At 42.4% G+C, this 17,445-nt stretch overlaps 1 protein-coding gene across 5 annotated transcripts in view, besides 2 other annotated features; it reads left to right on the top strand.

The window, feature by feature from the left end:
- Positions 1–17,445, top strand: part of DNMBP (dynamin binding protein) — a 134,377-nt gene that overhangs the window by 248 nt on the left and 116,684 nt on the right. The window contains exons 1-2 of one of the 5 annotated variants that reach the window (XM_047424910.1): positions 117–3,463; positions 6,677–6,758. The exons of 3 other annotated variants lie outside the window; for them this stretch is intronic. The gene's annotated coding sequence lies outside the window, so the exon portion shown is untranslated. Of the gene's footprint in view, positions 1–116; positions 3,464–6,676; positions 6,759–17,445 lie in introns of those variants that run through there. One more of the 5 variants, NM_001441287.1, reaches the window with a different exon arrangement.
- Positions 2,637–2,696: an enhancer, noted in NCBI's record as "active region_3877". NCBI's record gives its function as "activates an Ori minimal core promoter by ATAC-STARR-seq in GM12878 lymphoblastoid cells {active_cell/tissue: GM12878}" and the evidence as "EXISTENCE:reporter gene assay evidence [ECO:0000049][PMID:35858748]".
- Positions 3,247–3,326: an enhancer, noted in NCBI's record as "active region_3876". NCBI's record gives its function as "activates an Ori minimal core promoter by ATAC-STARR-seq in GM12878 lymphoblastoid cells {active_cell/tissue: GM12878}" and the evidence as "EXISTENCE:reporter gene assay evidence [ECO:0000049][PMID:35858748]".

Genomic DNA, 17,445 nt, shown 5'->3' with positions numbered 1-17,445 from the left:
TTTCCCAGCGGCGGCGCTGTGCTGCGCTCTGTGGGCCAGGAGCCCGCGAGGGACAGTGGGGCGCAGCGGGCCCCCTCGCACTCCTGTAGTCCCCGGGAGTTGGAGGGGTGGTCAGAGCAATGCGAACGTGGGCTTTTCAAGCGGTGTCAAGCCCAGGGCTCTTTCTCTGCACCGCCCTGCCACTCCGGCAATGAGGCGGAATTTTGAGAGCTGGAAAAAGAATTCTGCGTTAGTCCACCCCGCTGATTTTACAGATGTTCGGAGCCTTACGGCATAGGAGGCCGTGATTCTGTGTCAGGGAGACAGGGACAGATGGCTTCCGAAGCAAGGGTTAGACCTGTTCAGCTGGAGATGCAGCTTTGGTCATGGTGGAGTTTTGCAGAAACCCGCGGACACCCGCGTTCCTGCTGCAGGCACAGATGTCCACCGGGCATCTGTGTCTCAAAGGGTGGTGATGCTGTCACTTTAGTAAAGGAATATTGAGGTTACCAAACAGGCCGGGGCCTGATGCAGATGAGGAGTATAGACTTAAATTTTAAGTGCAAAAACAACTTTAAATGCAGTCTCATTATTACTGCCTGTCTCATTTGTACTGTAATGAAGGGTGAATATTTTTGGCACTCACTTATTCTGGAATATGGGTAACTTGCCTTTAGGTCTGTTTTATAGTAATTCTTTTACACAAACATGAAGATCTTGTATTAAAACACTTTCATAACTAATGATGCTGTAGTATGTGGCAGGCGAGTGGTAACGCTAATATTTAGGGTTTGAGCATAGTCTAGCTCTGCTTGTTTACATAGCTGAGTTAAACGGATGAGCAGGACTGATTAATCTGTAGTAGTTTTTGCAAGACTGAAGTACCTGACAGCATTCGGGGATCATTTCTCAGTTGGTGTTCCGTTTATTACTTTCACAGCATGAATACCGACACGGTGATCAGCAAGTTAGTTTATCCTCTACCCATTTTTCTCTAAAATATTGAATTAAAGGATCTCTAAGGTCCTCTTCTGTCTCGAGTTCTCCGATTTTACATGTTAACTTGAAACACGTCACTCATTGTGATAATAAAAATGTTTTAAGAAGAAAAGATTTTTAGAATTCTGCATAATGGGGCATAGCGAATCTTCAAATTCATTATTCTCAGCTCTCTCAGTCACTTTATCAGGGTTGGGCTAAAATAAGTGAAAAGTGACTTTTCAAATTGCAGATACTTACGTGTTAAATTCACTTAAATTCAGAGGCTGCAATGGAGTGATTTCTGGAGGGTGGAGAGTAGCTCAAGTCTGGCTTGGGAACGGGGTTCGTGCAGTGCACTGATAACTTTTGCAATAAGCCAAGAACAGTCTGACTCAGAGAATGTGATAAATTGACTTTTATACAGTGTTCATATTGTGTATTTTTTGGCTGAGATAATAATAATCTTCATAAACGATCTGTTTAAATATGCACCAGTTATTTATTTGTCTTGCAGCCCCAAGGCAGGGCATTTCCCTCAACGTTCCATCAATCTCTTCCTCTTTTCTGGCTCCTGACTTCAGGTGATCCGCCTGCCTCAGCCTCCCAAAATGCTGGGATTACAGGCGTGAGCCACCGAGCCTGGCTTTTGGCTTATTTTCTAGGTTTAGTATTCTGTTGTTTCTAGAGTCAGCTAATGGATTACCTACAACATGGTATTATTACGAGATTATCTCCTGTGAAATTCTCGAATGTGCTTGATCATCTGCCAAAGCATCCTTAGAATTCATTCAGAATACTTCTGGAAAGTTTTGCAACACCAATTCAATTAATATGAAATAGTTTCTTATTATACACACTCTGGAAAACATCTGAATAAGCTAATTTTCAAGATTGGTTAACTTAGTCTTGTTGGTCAGGAGTTAATTATGAGTTATTAGTTTCTTGCCTGGAAAGGCAGAAAGTTCTTAAGTAGCAGCAGTAAAATGAGCTCTTTAATGAAAGAGCCGTTAAACCAAGATGTTAACTTTTAGTTGTGTTCTTTATCCTCCCTGCTATGAAAGGCAGCTGTGGGAGGTGAAATAGAGTAGCTAAAATGTATTATTTCATTTTTAGATTTCTAGATCTTTTCTTCTGACTGAAGGACGTGACCACCAAGAATTGAACCAGCACTTGAGGGCAGGCACATAGGGCATTGTGTGAGGAGTCTGAAGGCATGGCTTTTGGTCCTTACTTGTTTATTCACTGAACACATTCTCACTGAGCACCTGTGTGTGCTGAGAGGGTGGGCACCTGTGTGTGCCGGGAGGAGGAACACCTGTATGTGCTTGTGGGGGGCACCTGTGTGTGCCGGGGTCGTGGTAGCACTTGTGTATGCTGTGGGTGCTGGGAGGGGGAACCAGTTTGAACAAAACAGACTAAGCCCTCGTGGAACAGACACATTCTAATTGGGTGGAAACAGACAAATATGTGAATGAATAGGTCAAAGGATCATAATGCTGTGGAGAACTTTAGAGTCAGGAAAGGGTAAGAGTGTGTGTGTGTGTATGTATATGTGTGGTAGGGGATTTACTTTTTATATAGAGGGGTCAAATAAAGCCTCTACTGAGATAACTTTTTTTTTTTTGGAGACAGAGTCTTGCTCTGTCACCCAGGCTGGAGTGCAGTGGCGTGATCACAGCTCACTGTAGCCTCAACCTCCTGGGCTCAAGTGATCCTCCCATCTCAGCCTCCCGAGTAAGCTGGGACTGCAGGCTTATATCACCACGCTGGGCCAATGTTTGTATTTTTAGTAGACGCGGGGTTTCACTATGTCGCTCAGGCTGGTCTGGAACTCCTGGCCTCAAGCGATCCACCCACCTTGGCCTCCCAAAGTGCTGGGATTACAGGCATGGGCCACCACACCTGGCCTAACTCATGGTGGGAGACTGGAAGGAAATGAGGAAGTGAGCAGGAGGCAGTGGGATGAGCATGTTCCAAACCCTGGTGCAGGAGCATGCTTGGCATGTTAGGGGTGGCAAGGTCATGGTGGCCAGTCAGTGTGGATGTGGGTTGGGGGGAGGTGGCAGCAGATGAGAGGGGGTGGGAGTGGGGAGGACACATCAGTGTAGGTCATTGTAAGGATTTTGGCCTTTACACTGAGTGAGGGGGAAGCCGTTGGAGAGCTTTGAACAGTGAAGTTGATGATGACTTATGTTTTAAAAGGATAACTGGCTGCTGGGTTGAGAATAGACAGGAAGAGGACAAGGGCTGAGTCAGGGAGACCTTTTCAAGCTAGAGCTGTGTGACTCACACCATAATTCTTCCCTGAGTCTTCGTTTCCTCATCTGTAAAATAACTGGGCCCTCTCTAGCTCAAGAATTTTAAGTTTTCAAGTAGTGCAGGGTATTATTTCTACAGGGAGGCAAGAGGATTGCGTGGGAAGAGGTTCTGAAAGTAAATCGCTTCAGATGACCTGAAAACTTGACACCAACCTGCCTGTAGCTGAATCATCCCAAATCAAGAGGTAATCAGGTCTTTTTCAGTCAGATTGTCAGGTCATGAGAACAAAAACACTGTTTCGTAAATATTCTCTGCTCATCCCTTTTGTACTTTGCTGATCCCTGAATTTTCCCTTCCTGATTGAAAAAGGATGAAAAGCTGTTACTCATCAACAGAACTGGCAACCAGAGTAGCTTTTGTTGTTTGGAAAATTGGGAACTTTGGGGAAGGAAACAATTCTGTGTTTATCGTAGGTCATAAGAGTTTTTCTTTTATAACACGCAAGGAATCTAAAAGATTGGTTTTGTTGTAGAATTCCCTTGTCCCATTCATCTCATGTCTCACAGGTGTTCATTCTTAATGCATTGCATGTGCTTCCTTTTGTTTATGTAGGAGCTTGCAAAGTGGGAATGTTTGTTTTATGTGTATGTATCTTGATTTATAATGCTGTAATTCATTTTCCTTTATGTAGTTTGGTTTTTTTTTTTTTTTTTTTTGGAGACTTTTGAGACAAGAGTCTCACTCTGTTGCCCAGGCTGGAGTACAGTGGCGAGATCTCGGCTCACTGCAGCCTCCGCCTCCCGGGTTCAAGCCATTTCCTGCCTCAGCCTCTTGAGTAGCTGGAATTACAGTCATGCGCCACCACGCCCAGCTAATTTTTTTGTATTTTAGTAGAGACGGGGTTTCACCATGTTGGCCAGGCTGGTCTCGAACTCCTGACCTCAGGTGATCCGCCTGCCTTGGCCTCCCAAAGTACTGGGATTACAGGTATGAACCACCATGCCAGGTCTCTGAGTAGTGTTTTTAAGATCCATCCATATTGTTATGTGTCTAATTCTCTGCTTTGGAATGCTGCATTTATACCCCATGCTGTTTGCATCCATTGGTTTTGCTTTATCTGCTCTCTGTGTAGTGAGTGGTTACTCAAGTTGTTCCTACCCCCTAACACCATAAATATTGCTGCAGTGAACATCTTCCTACATGTCTCCTTACAAAGCTGTATAATATTTCTGTGGAATTGCTGGATTATAGGCTTGCAGAGACTGAATTTGATTAAATAGTGCCAGATGCCTCTCCACAGTGGCTGCCCCAGTCTCTGTGCCTCTGGAAGTATTAATATTTGAGGACTCCTGTATCCTCATGTCCCACCAGCACTCGCCTCTTTCCAGCTATCCATGGTTTTCAATCTCGTAAGCACAAAGTGATATCTTGTCGTTTTAATTTATATTTCTTTGATGACTAGAGATTTTGAGTATCTCTTATACAGATAGCTTCCTCTGTAAATTGCTTATTCATGTCTTTGGCATTTTCTGTTGGAGTTGATATCTATTTTGTTGCTGTTGACTTGCAGAAATGATTTTATAATATAGGTATTTATTCCCTGTTATGTTTAGACTTTGCAGATGTCTTCTCATTTGGGCATCTTGACATCTGTTGATCAAATCTTCTCATTTAGTTCTCGTTTTGTCTTTGCCATCCTTTGATCAAGAAATATTTTTAATTTTGATGTAATCAAATAGATAAATTCTTTGACTTGCGGTTTATGTTTTTGGAGTTTTGTTTAAGGAACTCTTCCTGAACCCTAGGTCATGTCTGTGACTTTCATCTCTCTAGGGCCCGCATTTTCATGTGTTAGATAGGAATCCAGCCCTATTTTTCTCCATTTAATGACCCAGTTTTTCTAATAACATGTCAACAAAATCCATGCTTTCCTCTATGAAATTATGGTATCTCTTTCTCATTTGTGGTTTCCATGGATACACTTGTCTGGCCCTAAGCATTTATTTTGTTCCATTAGTCTGTCAGTTCTTACTTCATTTTTTTAATTGCTCTAATTTTATTACAGTGACTTTGTAGTATGTCCTAATGACTGGCACAGCAAGCCATTCATCTTAAAGTTTATTTAGCTCTTCCTGGACCAAAATTTATTTTTTCCATATAAAATTTGGAATAAGTTTACCAGGCTACCCAAACATTATATATACATATATATTTATATATATATATTTTTTCTTTTGAGACCTTGTGTCACTCTGTTACCCAGGCTGGAGTGCAGTGGCACCATCACGGCTCACTGCAGCCTCAACCTCCCAGGCTCAAGTGATCCTCCCATTCTAGCCTCCCAAGTAGCTGAGACCACAGGCATGTGCCACCATCCCTGGCTAATTTTTCTTTTTTTTTTTTGTAATTTTTTTAGAGATAGGGACGCCCTTTGTTGTCCAGGCCGGTCTTGAACTCCCGGGCTCCAGCAATCTTCCTGCCTTGGCCTCCCAAAGTGCTTGGATTACAGGCATGAGCCACTGTGCCTGGCCAAAAAATTATATTTTTGAGGAATTTTTATTGGAGTTTATTGAGTTTATAAATTATTTGAGGAGGGTTAACATCTTATTTTATTTATTTATTTATTTTTTATGTGCCATGTTGCTTTTTTATTTTTTATTTTTCTTTTTAAGACAGGGTCTCCCTCTGTTGCCCAGGCTGGAGTACAGTGGTGCGATGATAGCTCACTGCAGCCACCACACCCAGCTAAATATTTTTATAAGTTTTTTGTTGTTGTTGTTGTTGTTTTAATAGAGATGAGGTCTCACTCTGTTGCCCTGGCTGGGCCCTGGCCAGTAACTCCTGGCCTCAAATGGTCTTCCCACCTCAAAGTGTGCTGGGATTACAAGTGTGAGCCACTGAAATAGTAACTCATTCCATCCAAGAGCATATAATGTGTCTTTCCGTTTATTCAGCTCATTTTTCTGACATTTTTATAATTTTGGAAATAATTTAAAGCTAACAGAAGAGTGCTAAGAGTATGTTTTCTTTGTGTGCTTTTTCCCCTGACCCCTTTAATTGTAGACATCATGTCCCTTTAATCTCTAAATACATGCTTCATCAGTTCTTTTTGTTTGTTTGTTTGTTTTTCTTTTGGAATGGAGTCTCGCTCTGTCGCCCAGGCTGGAGTGCAGTGGCTCGATCTCTGCTCACTGTAACCTCCGCCTCCCAGGTTCAAGCAATTCTCCTGCCTCAGCCTCCTGAGTAGCTGGGGCTACCGGTGTGTGCCACCACGCCTGGCTAATTTTTTTGTATTTTTGGTAAAGATGGGGTTTTACCATGATAGCCAGGATGGTCTCAATGTGACCTTGTGATCCACGTGCCTTGGCCTCCCAAAGTGCTGGGATTACAGGCCTGAGCCACCGTGCCCAGCCCTTTCCCATTCTTATACTTCTTATTCATTTTTCTTTCCTTACAGCATTGGCCAGGACTACTAGAACTGTGTCAAAACAGCTGCTACACTAACGGGCATCTTTGTCTTGTTCTCAGTCTTAAAAAGAGTGAGTCTAAAGATTTCCTATTTCATATAATGTTTGTTTTAGGTTTTGTATGTTACCTTTATCAAGTTTTAAGGTATTACCCTCAATCCTAGTTTACTGAGAGTTTTCATCATAAATAGGTATTAAGCCTTACCAAGTACTTTTTCAGGATCTGTCCTTGAGGAAATAAGATGGCATCAGGAAGGCTGTATACCAAAATCCTAACCCTATGCTGACTTTGTTTCAAGCAGAAGATATTTATTAACCCTACATATATAATTTGTGGAAAGCATCTCAAGATTCCAATACAAGTTTATTTCACCATTAGGTCAGCTTTTTCCTCCTGGCATTACGAGTCAGAATTTAAATAGCTGATGTGAAAAATGAGAGAAAGAGCCATACTCAGGATGATAAGTTTTGTTGTCAGCATGATTGTAAATATAAGATATGTAAAATTATAGTTTCCTTACTCTGTGGATCGGTCTTTACTTCAGGCATAAATCTTACTAAATTATATCTCAAGAAATATTGAGGTGGCTCGTCAGTAGAGCCATAGATAGCTGTTTAGCAGCACTAACTGCTAGGGTGTTGGGCAGTGAATTCTCATGGCCAGCTCTTCTCTCTCTTTCTTTTTCTTTCTTTTTAGACTAGCCATTTTTTTTCCTAATTGTGAAATTATACCTCTTTATTACAGAGCATCTGTAAAATATAGAAAAGCGAATCTATAATCCTGCCTTTTAGCACCAACCCCTGCTAAAACGTTGGTTATTTCTCTGTCTCTGTTTTTTATTGGGGTGGGGGAGCATGTTGAGGAGGAGAGGGCACTTAACATTGCACTATATCATTTTCTATCACCCCTCCTTTTTCAGGGCTAGATCATTAACTCATGTTCATTTTGCTTTGATTGGCTCTCTGGGGAAAAATCGATAGAAAACTTACAATTAACTTGTAGCAGTGGGGTGATAGCTTGCTCCTCTCTTGGAACAGTTTATGCCTGAGGGAGCCTCCGTGCACAAACAGCCCAGAGTCATTGTCAGAACTTGGAGCAATCCTAGCCCTAAGCCCAACAGACCAAAAACTAGCTTAAGGGTGTGGAGGGGAGAAGTACTTTTGAGGTCTCTTTGCTTCAGTTCAGTCCTCCCAGGTTGTCACCTTCCTTATCTAGACCACACTTGCTTTAATCTTTCAGAAAATAAATAGAATGGAGAAAATAGTCATTTATTTTCTTTTGACTCTGAAAACCTAGCACAGGCCACGTACGGTGGCTCACACCTGTAATCCCGGCACTTTGGTAGGCCAAGGCGGGCGGATCACTTGAGCTCAGGAGTTCAAGACCAGCCTGGACAACATGGCCAAACCCCATCACTACCAAAAAATACAAAAACTAGCCGGGCATGGTGGCATGTGCCTGTAGTCCTAGCGACTCAGGATGCTGAGGTGGGAGAATTGCTTGAACCTGGGAGGTGGAGGTTGCAGTGAGTTGTGCTTGCACCACTGCACTCCAGCCTGGGCAACAGAGTGAGACCCTGTCTCAAAAAAAAAAAAAAAACAACAACAACAAAACCCCATCACAATTGTTTTGTTTCCCTAATCACTTTTTGCTAGTGTGGAAGTGACAGAATTCATAGGTGAACATCCCTATGGTGAGGAGATTCAATGTCTACCTGCCTTCCTTTCTCACTCTCTATCCTTTTTTTTTTTTTTTTTTTTTTTTTTTTTTTTTTTTTTTAATGAGACGGAGTCTTGCTCTGTCCTCCAGGCTGGAGTGCAGTGGTGCCATCTCGGCTCACTGCAACCTCCACCTCCTGGGTTCAAGCAATTCTCCTGCCTTAGCCTCCCGAGTAGCTGGGATTACAGGCACGCACCACCACACCTGGCTAATTTTTGTATTCTTTAGTAGAGATGGAGTTTCCCCATGTTGGCCAGGCTGGTCTTGAACTCCTCCCTCGTGATCTGCCCGCCTCGGCCTCCCAAAGTGCTGGGATTACAGGCGTGAGCCACCGTGCCCGGCTCTTTTTTCCCCCAGTGTCCTTTGGTGTTGAAACTGAAATTCCCCATTCCTGTACCCTGCTGGGTTTTTTTTTTTTTTTTTTTTTTTTTTTTGCCATAACAGGTGTCACTTTCTAAAACACAATGGTCTGCCTTCCCAATTCCTCAAGGAGAAAATTCTTCAAGGGCAGGAATCTTTGTTTTGTTCCCTGTTCATAACCCAAGCCCACCTCGAACAGTGCCTGGTACCTGATGTGCCCTCAACAGATGAATCTATAAGATGAATCAACCTGTAAAGAAGCCACACTGTGATCCAGAGAAGGGTCATCTAAGGGAGGGGTGAGAGAAGAAAGCTCTCTTAGCTTCCTTTCAATGCATAGGTTCAGCAGGCTAGTAGAATCCCCATTTTTGTCTTTGACATTGCAAATGAAACCATCCACCCAGACACAGAGAAATTAGCTCTCTGCATCTGTTCTAGCCCCTCCTGCGGAGGCTGCATTTTCCCGAAAGTAGCATGTGAATGTTTGTGTTGCTGACAAACACATGGACTGGGAGAGAATAATCAGCACTGACATTCTAGCTGTGGGTCTGGGCCCAGAGTGCATTCTGCATTGTTTTCATGAGGTGATTCTCTTAGGATAAATGAGCCTGCCCCATCAGCAGAAAATGTTGCAATGGATGTGCCGAGTTATGCTTACCTCCCCAGCCTCACACCCCAGGTCCTCCTGCTTTCTAGTTGGTTCTTTCCTCCCCTCCCCTGCAATGTGGAAACTTTTTAGCTTTTCTGTCATTTCCGAACAATAAGTATTCTGAACGGTAAGTATTCTAATCTGGTTCAGAATTGTTACGATGAACAGTTATGCCTTGCATACCTGGTCACTGTTTTCTAAAGCAAGTCTTCAAATTATATTAATAGCACTATATAAAATGCTAAAAAATTAAAAAGCTGCCACAAATACACCATAATGGTGTTCTTGAGGCCAGTGTCACACACCCAGTCTATCCTGTAGAGGCCATTGCTTGGCTCATATTCCTGAAATACCGCTTTTGTTTATTATTCTACTGCCTGACACTTACCAGTGCCTACCACCTCTCCCAGTAAATTTTAAACTCTGCTGCCTGCCTGGCCCTCAAGTCTGGCCCAAATCCACTTATATAAAGTAGTCCCTGCTTTTCCACAGGGTATACATTCCAAGACCTCCAGTAAATACGTGAAACTGTGGATAGCACCAACCCTACATATACTCTGCATTTTCCTATACGTACCTACCTGCGATCCAGTTTAATTTATAAATTAGGTGCAGTAAGAGATTAACAACAATAATAACAAAATAGAATACTTATAACACTATATTGTAATAAAAGCTATGTGAATGTGGGCTCTCTTGCTATCAAAATGTCTTAGTAGTGTACTCACCTATTTTTAGACTGCAGTTGACCATAGGTAACTGAAACTGTGGAAAGTGAAACCGCGGATAAGGTGGGGACTACTGTGTGTAACAACAACAATAATGTAAAAACAGCAGCTCATATTTTAGCTACCATACTACATGCATTGTCATTTAATTGTAAAATGATTTTACGAGGAAGGTGCTGTTAGAATCTTCATTTTATAGATGGAGAAACTGAGGTACAGATCGTAAGAAACTTGCCCTAAAGTTGTACCACTGTTAAGTGAATAGAATTAAATTCAAACTCATGTCTGTTTACCTCCAAAGCCCGTGCTCTCAACCGTCTTGCCATAGTGGTCCCCAGGTAAATGAGTGCCTGAAGACAGTGAGTGACTTGTACAGTCCAGCAGTTACTGAGGTTGTCCTTTTTCAGGGTATGCGAGACTAACTCACCAGCACTCTGTTAGCTGTGGAGGGAAGGGAGGATTCTGTCTGGAGCTGGAACTGCTCAGGGAGCCCCTCTCTGGATTCTGCACTGACAGCTGCAGACAGAAACCACGTGGCACCTCCGAAAGGAGAAAGCTCTGAAATCATCCAGGTAGCATTCTTTGACTTTTCAATCCTTTTCATAATAAAGTATTTAAAATGTACAAAAATGAATAAAGAATAATACATCTGACGTCCATGTATCCAACACTCAATTTAAAATCTAAAAAGCTAACTTGGTTTCTGTATTTCACCTCCCTTTGCCGTTTTATAGACCTTTTGGTTCTAATGACTTAAAAAAAATAGGATTCCCTTTTATTTATGTATGACAACAATACCATTATTATCACCCCCCAAAACAGCAGTAATTCCTTAATATAATCAACAGTCTAGTCAATGTTCACAATTTCCCACTTACCTCATTTTTCCTTAAACAATTGATTTGTTTGAATCAGCGTTCAAGAAAAGTACATGTATTGTATTTAGTTAATGTGTTTCTTTTTTTTTTTTTTTTTTTGAGACGGAGTCTCACTCTGTCACCCAAACTGGAGTGCAGTGGTGTGATCTTGGCTCACTGCAACCTTTGCCTCCTGGGCTCTAGCGATTCTCCCGCCCCAGCCTCCTGAGTAGCTGGCATTACAGGCGTGTGCCACTATACCCGGCTAATGTTTTTTGTAGTTTAGTAGAGACAGGGTTTCACCATGTTGCCCAGGGTGGTTTCAAACTCCTGAGCTCAGGCAATCCACCCACCTCAGCCTCCCAAAGTGTTGGGATTACAGGCGTGAGCCACTGCGCCCGGCCGTTAATGTGTTTCTTAAGTGGCTTTTAATTTATGAATTTATGGTTTTCCTTTTTTTTTTTTTGAGACGGAGTCTTGCTCTGTCACCAGGCTGGAGTACAGTGGCGCGATCACTGCTCATTGCAACCTCCACCTCCCGGGTTCAAGCGATTCTCCTGCCTCAGCCTCCCGAGAAGCTGGGAATACAGGTGTGCGCCACCACGCCTGGCTAATTTTTTGTATTTTTAGTAGAGATGGGGTTTCACTGTGTTAGCCAGGATGGTCTTGATCTCCTGACCTTGTGATCTGCCCACCTTGGCCTCCCAAAGTGCTGGGGATTACAGGTGTGAGCCACCGCGTCCAGCTTTTTTTTTTTTTTTTTTTTTTTTTTGAGACAGAGTCTCATTCTGTCACCCAGGCTAGAGTGCAGTGGCGTGATCTCAGCTCACTGCAGCCTTTGCCTCCTGGATTCAAGCGATTCTTGTGCCCCACCCACCCAAGTAGCTTGAATTATGGGTGTGAGCCACCATGCCTGGAATAGAGATGGTTTTGCCATGTTGCCCAGGCTGGTCTCGAACTCCTGAGCTCAAGTGATCCATCTGCCTCAGCCTTCCAAAGTGCTGGGATTATAGGCATGAGCCACCGCACCTGGCCTCCTTTTTTAAATTTAAATTTTTTGCTTGTAATTTATTTGTTGAAGAAACTGGTCGTTTATTCTCTAGAGTTTCCCACATTCTGGATTTTTTAAGGGTGTCTGATATAACTTTGCTGTTGTCTCTGTAGTGAGTTAACTTACCCTTTAATCTGTTGGTCACTGCAGGAGGTTCCAAGTTATTCAGGCCTCCATAAATAGAAGGGATTCACTGGCCCTTGTAGTTTGGTCTGGCCCCAAGGTCATTTCTGAGGAGTCTTTCAAAATGTTCCAGGTGTCAGGGAATGACATTATCAACAGCAGGCCATCTCTAGTTGAAAACATTCTGCCTCAGAAGGAATTTTACAACTGCTATGTGGAAGGGCATTTTCGTGTTCCCTAGAGTTAGGGGAGAAAATTGTTAAGAGAATAAGTACCCTGGTTTTCTTCTTTTAGACAGTGCTTGTAGCTTTAAGGATTTCTGAGGCTGAGTGCCAGAAACTCCTTGGGATATTATTGTCTTACAGTTTAGATCTGCTTATCAGGAAACATCTGAGAATCCCTAGAGGGTCAGGGAAGAGGAGGATGAGTTTACATTAAAACCAGACTTTGTTAGTGCCTGTTAGAGTCCCGTATTTTTGAGCAGCTATATGGGCTGTGGAACATAACACTCATCCATGTTTTTCAAACCCATAGTTTTAATTACTTGTTCTTTTTGCTACCAGTGTCTAGATGTTGTTCAATAATTATAACATCTGGACTGCTGTAGACACAAAGAAATCCGTTTTCTTGTATTTTTCTTTTAGTTTTGCTGCCTTGACCTTCTAGTCAGCTGTGATAGTTCTGTGGGATAGTGAGCCAGTATTAAAGTGAAAAGAATGAAAATTGTTGAAGTATGCAGCTGTGTTTGGATTTATTTAGTGATTTGAAGGGTGTAAGAAGAAAGTATCTCAATGTCAATATTTTCATTTAAAGTCAAATGGTTAATAAGTCAAGACTAAAAATCTAAACTAGAAAAAGAAAGACATTCAATAAATTTATTATAACCCTACTTAATACTTTTATTATTATTTTACTAGCTGGTTATTTTAAGTAAGGATTTTGCTTTGATTAAAGATGTTGAAAACAGTTATGAAAATCTTTTGGGTTGAATTTTATTTTTTTAATTTAGTTGGAGTCTCGCTTTGTCACTCAGGCTGGATTGCAGTGGTGCGATTTCGGCTCACTGCAACCGCTGCCTCCTGGTTTCAAGTGATCCTCGTGTCTCAGCCTCCTGAGTAGCTGGGATTACAGGCGGGTGCCACCATGCCTGGCCAATTTTTTATTTTTAGTAGAGACGGGGTTTCGCCATTTTGGCCAGGCTGGTCTCAAACTTCTGACCTCAGGTGATCCACCTGCCTTGGCCTCCCAAAGTTCTGAGATTACAGGTGTGAACCACCGCCCCCAGCCTTTGGGTTGAATTTTACCAACATGTTCAAACGTTATTCTTGTATCCCATAGGTGGGATTCAGGCTTGGTGAATATTCTCTTCTTGTGATTCCAAACGTTTAAAAATTAAAATATAATTATTATTCACAGTAAGTGTTGATGAGAGGTGATTTGCTAGTTTACTGATTGTTTTCCCTGCAGTGATCAGCTAACAATAAAAATAGCACTTCATGTTCACAACTGTTCACAGGTAGCAATAATACATACAGGAGATAATGTATTTGAAAAGCAGTCTGTAAATGTAATTGTACTGTAATAATGTGTCCACGTGGCCTTGCAGAGAACTGCCCATTGTAGATCAATGCCTACTGTGCCTGACGTGGCAGCACCTGGGTGACTCCACTGTCCCTTCTTGAAGACAGACGTGTTTATTATTTTGGCAACAGCCACTGGCCCCAAAAGGCAAAGATAATCAGACAGTGTTTATATAGTTGCTCTTCCAGATTGTTTGTCACATTCTTATAGAATAGCCTGTCTCTCTGTGTATTCACTTTTATTTCTGTCCATCATAAGACACAGGTGCTCCAAGTCACATATCTGCAACCACTCTGGCCCACCAGCACTTCAAAGCTCACCCCATGAAATGCCCCCAACAAGCCTGTTTGGTCATGACTTAAACAAAATTGGATGTCTTTTTCCTAGATTCCCCTGCCAGTATTTTGGTGAGGCTAGAGCTTAGTGTATATGGTAGGTAGAAGGGTGTCAAGAAATGAGGTCAAACTTGTATGCCGGGACTAGCTCATGACAAGCTTTGTATGATCTGCAAACAAGTTTTAGACACTTCCTGCAAGTGATGGATGGGGAAGCCTTAGAGGAACTTCAGGCGGTAAAGATGTATAAGATTTCTGTTTTTGCCAGGTGCCGTGATCATGCCTGTAATCCCAGCAGTTCAGGAGGCTAAGGTGGGTGGATGGCTTGAGCCCAGGAAGAGACCAACCTGGGCAACATGGGGAAATCCATCTCTACAAAAAATACAAAAATTAGCTGAGCGTGATGGCCCACGTCTGCCGTCCCAGCTACTTGGGAGGCTGAGATGGGAGGATTGCTTGAGACTGGGAGGTCAAGGCTGCAGTGAGCTGTCATCGCACCACCGCACTCCAGTCTGGGCAACAGAGTGAGACTGTCTCAAAAAAAAAAAAAAAATTGTTTTCAAGCTGGGCACAGTGGCGCATGCCCAGCTGCTTGGGAGGCTGAAGCCATAGGATCACTTGAGTAGGAGTTTGAGTCCAGCCTGGGCAACATAGCAAGACCCTGTCTCTTTAAACAAACAAACAAAACCATTTTTAAGAAGATAATCCTAGTTGGGTGTGGAAAATAGGACAAAGGCAGATAAGATTGGTAGGTAGCCATTTAGGAAGCTATTGCAGGAGCCCCAAAGAAAAGATGATGAGAATCATAGTTTGATGTGTTTAAAGGATTTAACAGTAATGCCAATGTTTTTCCTAGAAGTACAGGATATGTTTTAGAACAGTCAGTAAATTGATTTCATATCCCTCTTCTATTCCTGGAAGGCATTTGGCAAAGGCTTTCCTGGACCCATATGCAGGGATCTCATTTATAAACTTCTGCCAAATCCTTGTGGGTCTGCTGTGAAGACACAGCTCATTTTAGAGCTTAGAGTAGAGGGGCACGTCAATTGCGTTGTCCTGGTGACCAGTAACCACAGAGTCACATGACTCCCCCTTCCTCTCAAGAAGACAGCAGCAGTTTTGAGAAGTTGGCCCCGCCTAGAGCCTGCTGTCTCATCCCTATTATTTATGTTCCCCTCCGCCTGGGTGATGATGGTCATAATCGTCATCACCCGCCATTGTCATCACTGTTCTCATTGCTGACATTTACTGAGTACTGTATGTACCATTTGCCAGGAAATGTATTAAATGTTTTACCTACATTATCAAATTTAATCCTTATACGCCCTATGAAATAAATTACTGTTATTATCTTCCATTACAGATGAGGAAACTAAAGTTCAGAGGGGTTTAAGTAACTTGCCCAAGGTCACATAGCTTGATAAATGGCAGAGCCAGAAATTGAAACTAAATTCTGTCTGACTGGAGTCTGGGCTCCTAACTGTTATGTAGTTATTACTTAATACAATTCAGTAGCAAATATGACTTCTCTTTAAATTTGCTCTTTTATGTAGCATCATCCACCCAGTGAAAGTTCACTTAATCAAACACTGTGTTTGTTACCTACCCTCCATGCCCATCCTATAACAGGCATAAAACACAAGTTTAAAGTATCTATTAAAACATTAAGTGTAGGAAAAACTTTGTAGGGGAGGGGAGGTGGATGTGGGTGGCAGAATAGGGAAGCTATTTAAATTTCTAGCTTTTTTCAAGGCAGAATATTCATGTATGCCTTCTCTATTTTTTTTCTACCTTCACAGTTTTTTTAAAGACAGGGTCTTGCTTTGTTGCCCAGGCTGGAATGCAGTGGCATGATCACAGCTCACTGCAGCCTCAAATCTCCCAGGCTTAAGCGATCCTTCCACCTCAGCCTCCCAAGTAGCTAGGACTACAGGTGCACACCAGCATGCCCAGCTAATTTTTAATAAATTTTTGTAGAGACAGTCTCACTATGTTGCCCAGACTGGTCTTGAACTCCTGGCCTCAAGTGATCCAACCCCCTTGGCCTCCCAAAATGCTGGGATTACAGGCATGAGCCAACATGCCTGGCCTGCCTTCACTATTTTGTGTGAAGTATAGAGATTTCGGAAAGAGGAGAGACACTTACTTTTAAAAATTGAGATACAATTCACATACCATAAAATTCACCTTTTAAAAGTATATAATTCAGTGGTTTTTAGTATATCCACAAAGTTGTACACCCATTCACCACTAATTCCAGAGCATTTTCATTACCCCCAAAAGAAACTTCATACCCAGTAGCAGTCAGTGCTCATTTTCCATTCCTGAGACATTCATTTTCAAACATATTAAATACCAGAATACATCCCAATGCTATGAAAAAGGTTTTGGGAGTGTCTATCTACAATTCCTCTCTCTTTAATGCAGATAATGATAATAGCTGACACTGGTGTAATGCTTACTATTTGTGAGGTACTATTTTCAGTGCTTTACATATATTAATTTCATTACAACCCTATGAGCAGGTTTTATTTTTATTTTTATGTTGAATCTTTATTTTTATTTTTATGTTGAGTCAGGGTCTTGCTCTGTAGCCCAGATTAGAGGGTGCAATCACCACTCACTGCAGCCTTGACCTCCTGGGCTCAAGTGATCCTCCCACCTCAGCCTCCTGACTAGCTGGGGCTACAGTTGCACACCACCATGCCCAGCTAATTTTTTGTATTTTTTGTAGAGACCAGATTTCACCATGTTGCCCAGTCTGGTCTTAAAACTCCTAGACTCGGCCGGATGCGGTGTCTTATGCCTGTAATCCCAGCACTTTGGGAGGCCCAGGCGAGTAGATCACGAGGTCATGAGATCGAGACCATCCTGGCTAACACGGTGAAACCCCATCTCTACTAAAAACACAAAAAATTAGCCGGGCTTAGTGGCGGGCGCCTATAGTCCCAGCTACTCGGGAGGCTAAGGCAGGAGAATGGCGTGAACCCAGGAGGTGGAGCTTGCAGTGAGCCGAGATCACGCCACCGCACTCCAGCCTGGGTGACAGAGCCAGACTCCGTCTCAAAAAAAAAAAAAAAAAACTCCTAGATTCAGGCAATCTACCTGCCTCAGCCTCCCAGAGTGCTGGGATTACAGGCGTGAGCCACTTTACCCAGCCAGGTTCTATTATTAAACCCATTTTACAGATAAGAAAGTTAAGACACAGAGAATTAACTTGCTCCAAAGAAGCAAGTAAGTAATTAAGTAATTGTTTTAATAAAAAGTTAAGTAATTGCTGTAATAAGGGATGGAGCTGCCATATAGATCTAGGTAGTCTGGCTCTATAGTCTGTGCTCTTAACTATTACATTTTG

The sequence above is a fragment of the Homo sapiens genome, chromosome 10 (genome assembly GCF_000001405.40).
Source record: "Homo sapiens chromosome 10, GRCh38.p14 Primary Assembly".
Taxonomy (NCBI): domain Eukaryota; kingdom Metazoa; phylum Chordata; class Mammalia; order Primates; family Hominidae; genus Homo; species Homo sapiens.
This window is presented reverse-complemented; position numbering and strand designations above follow the sequence as displayed.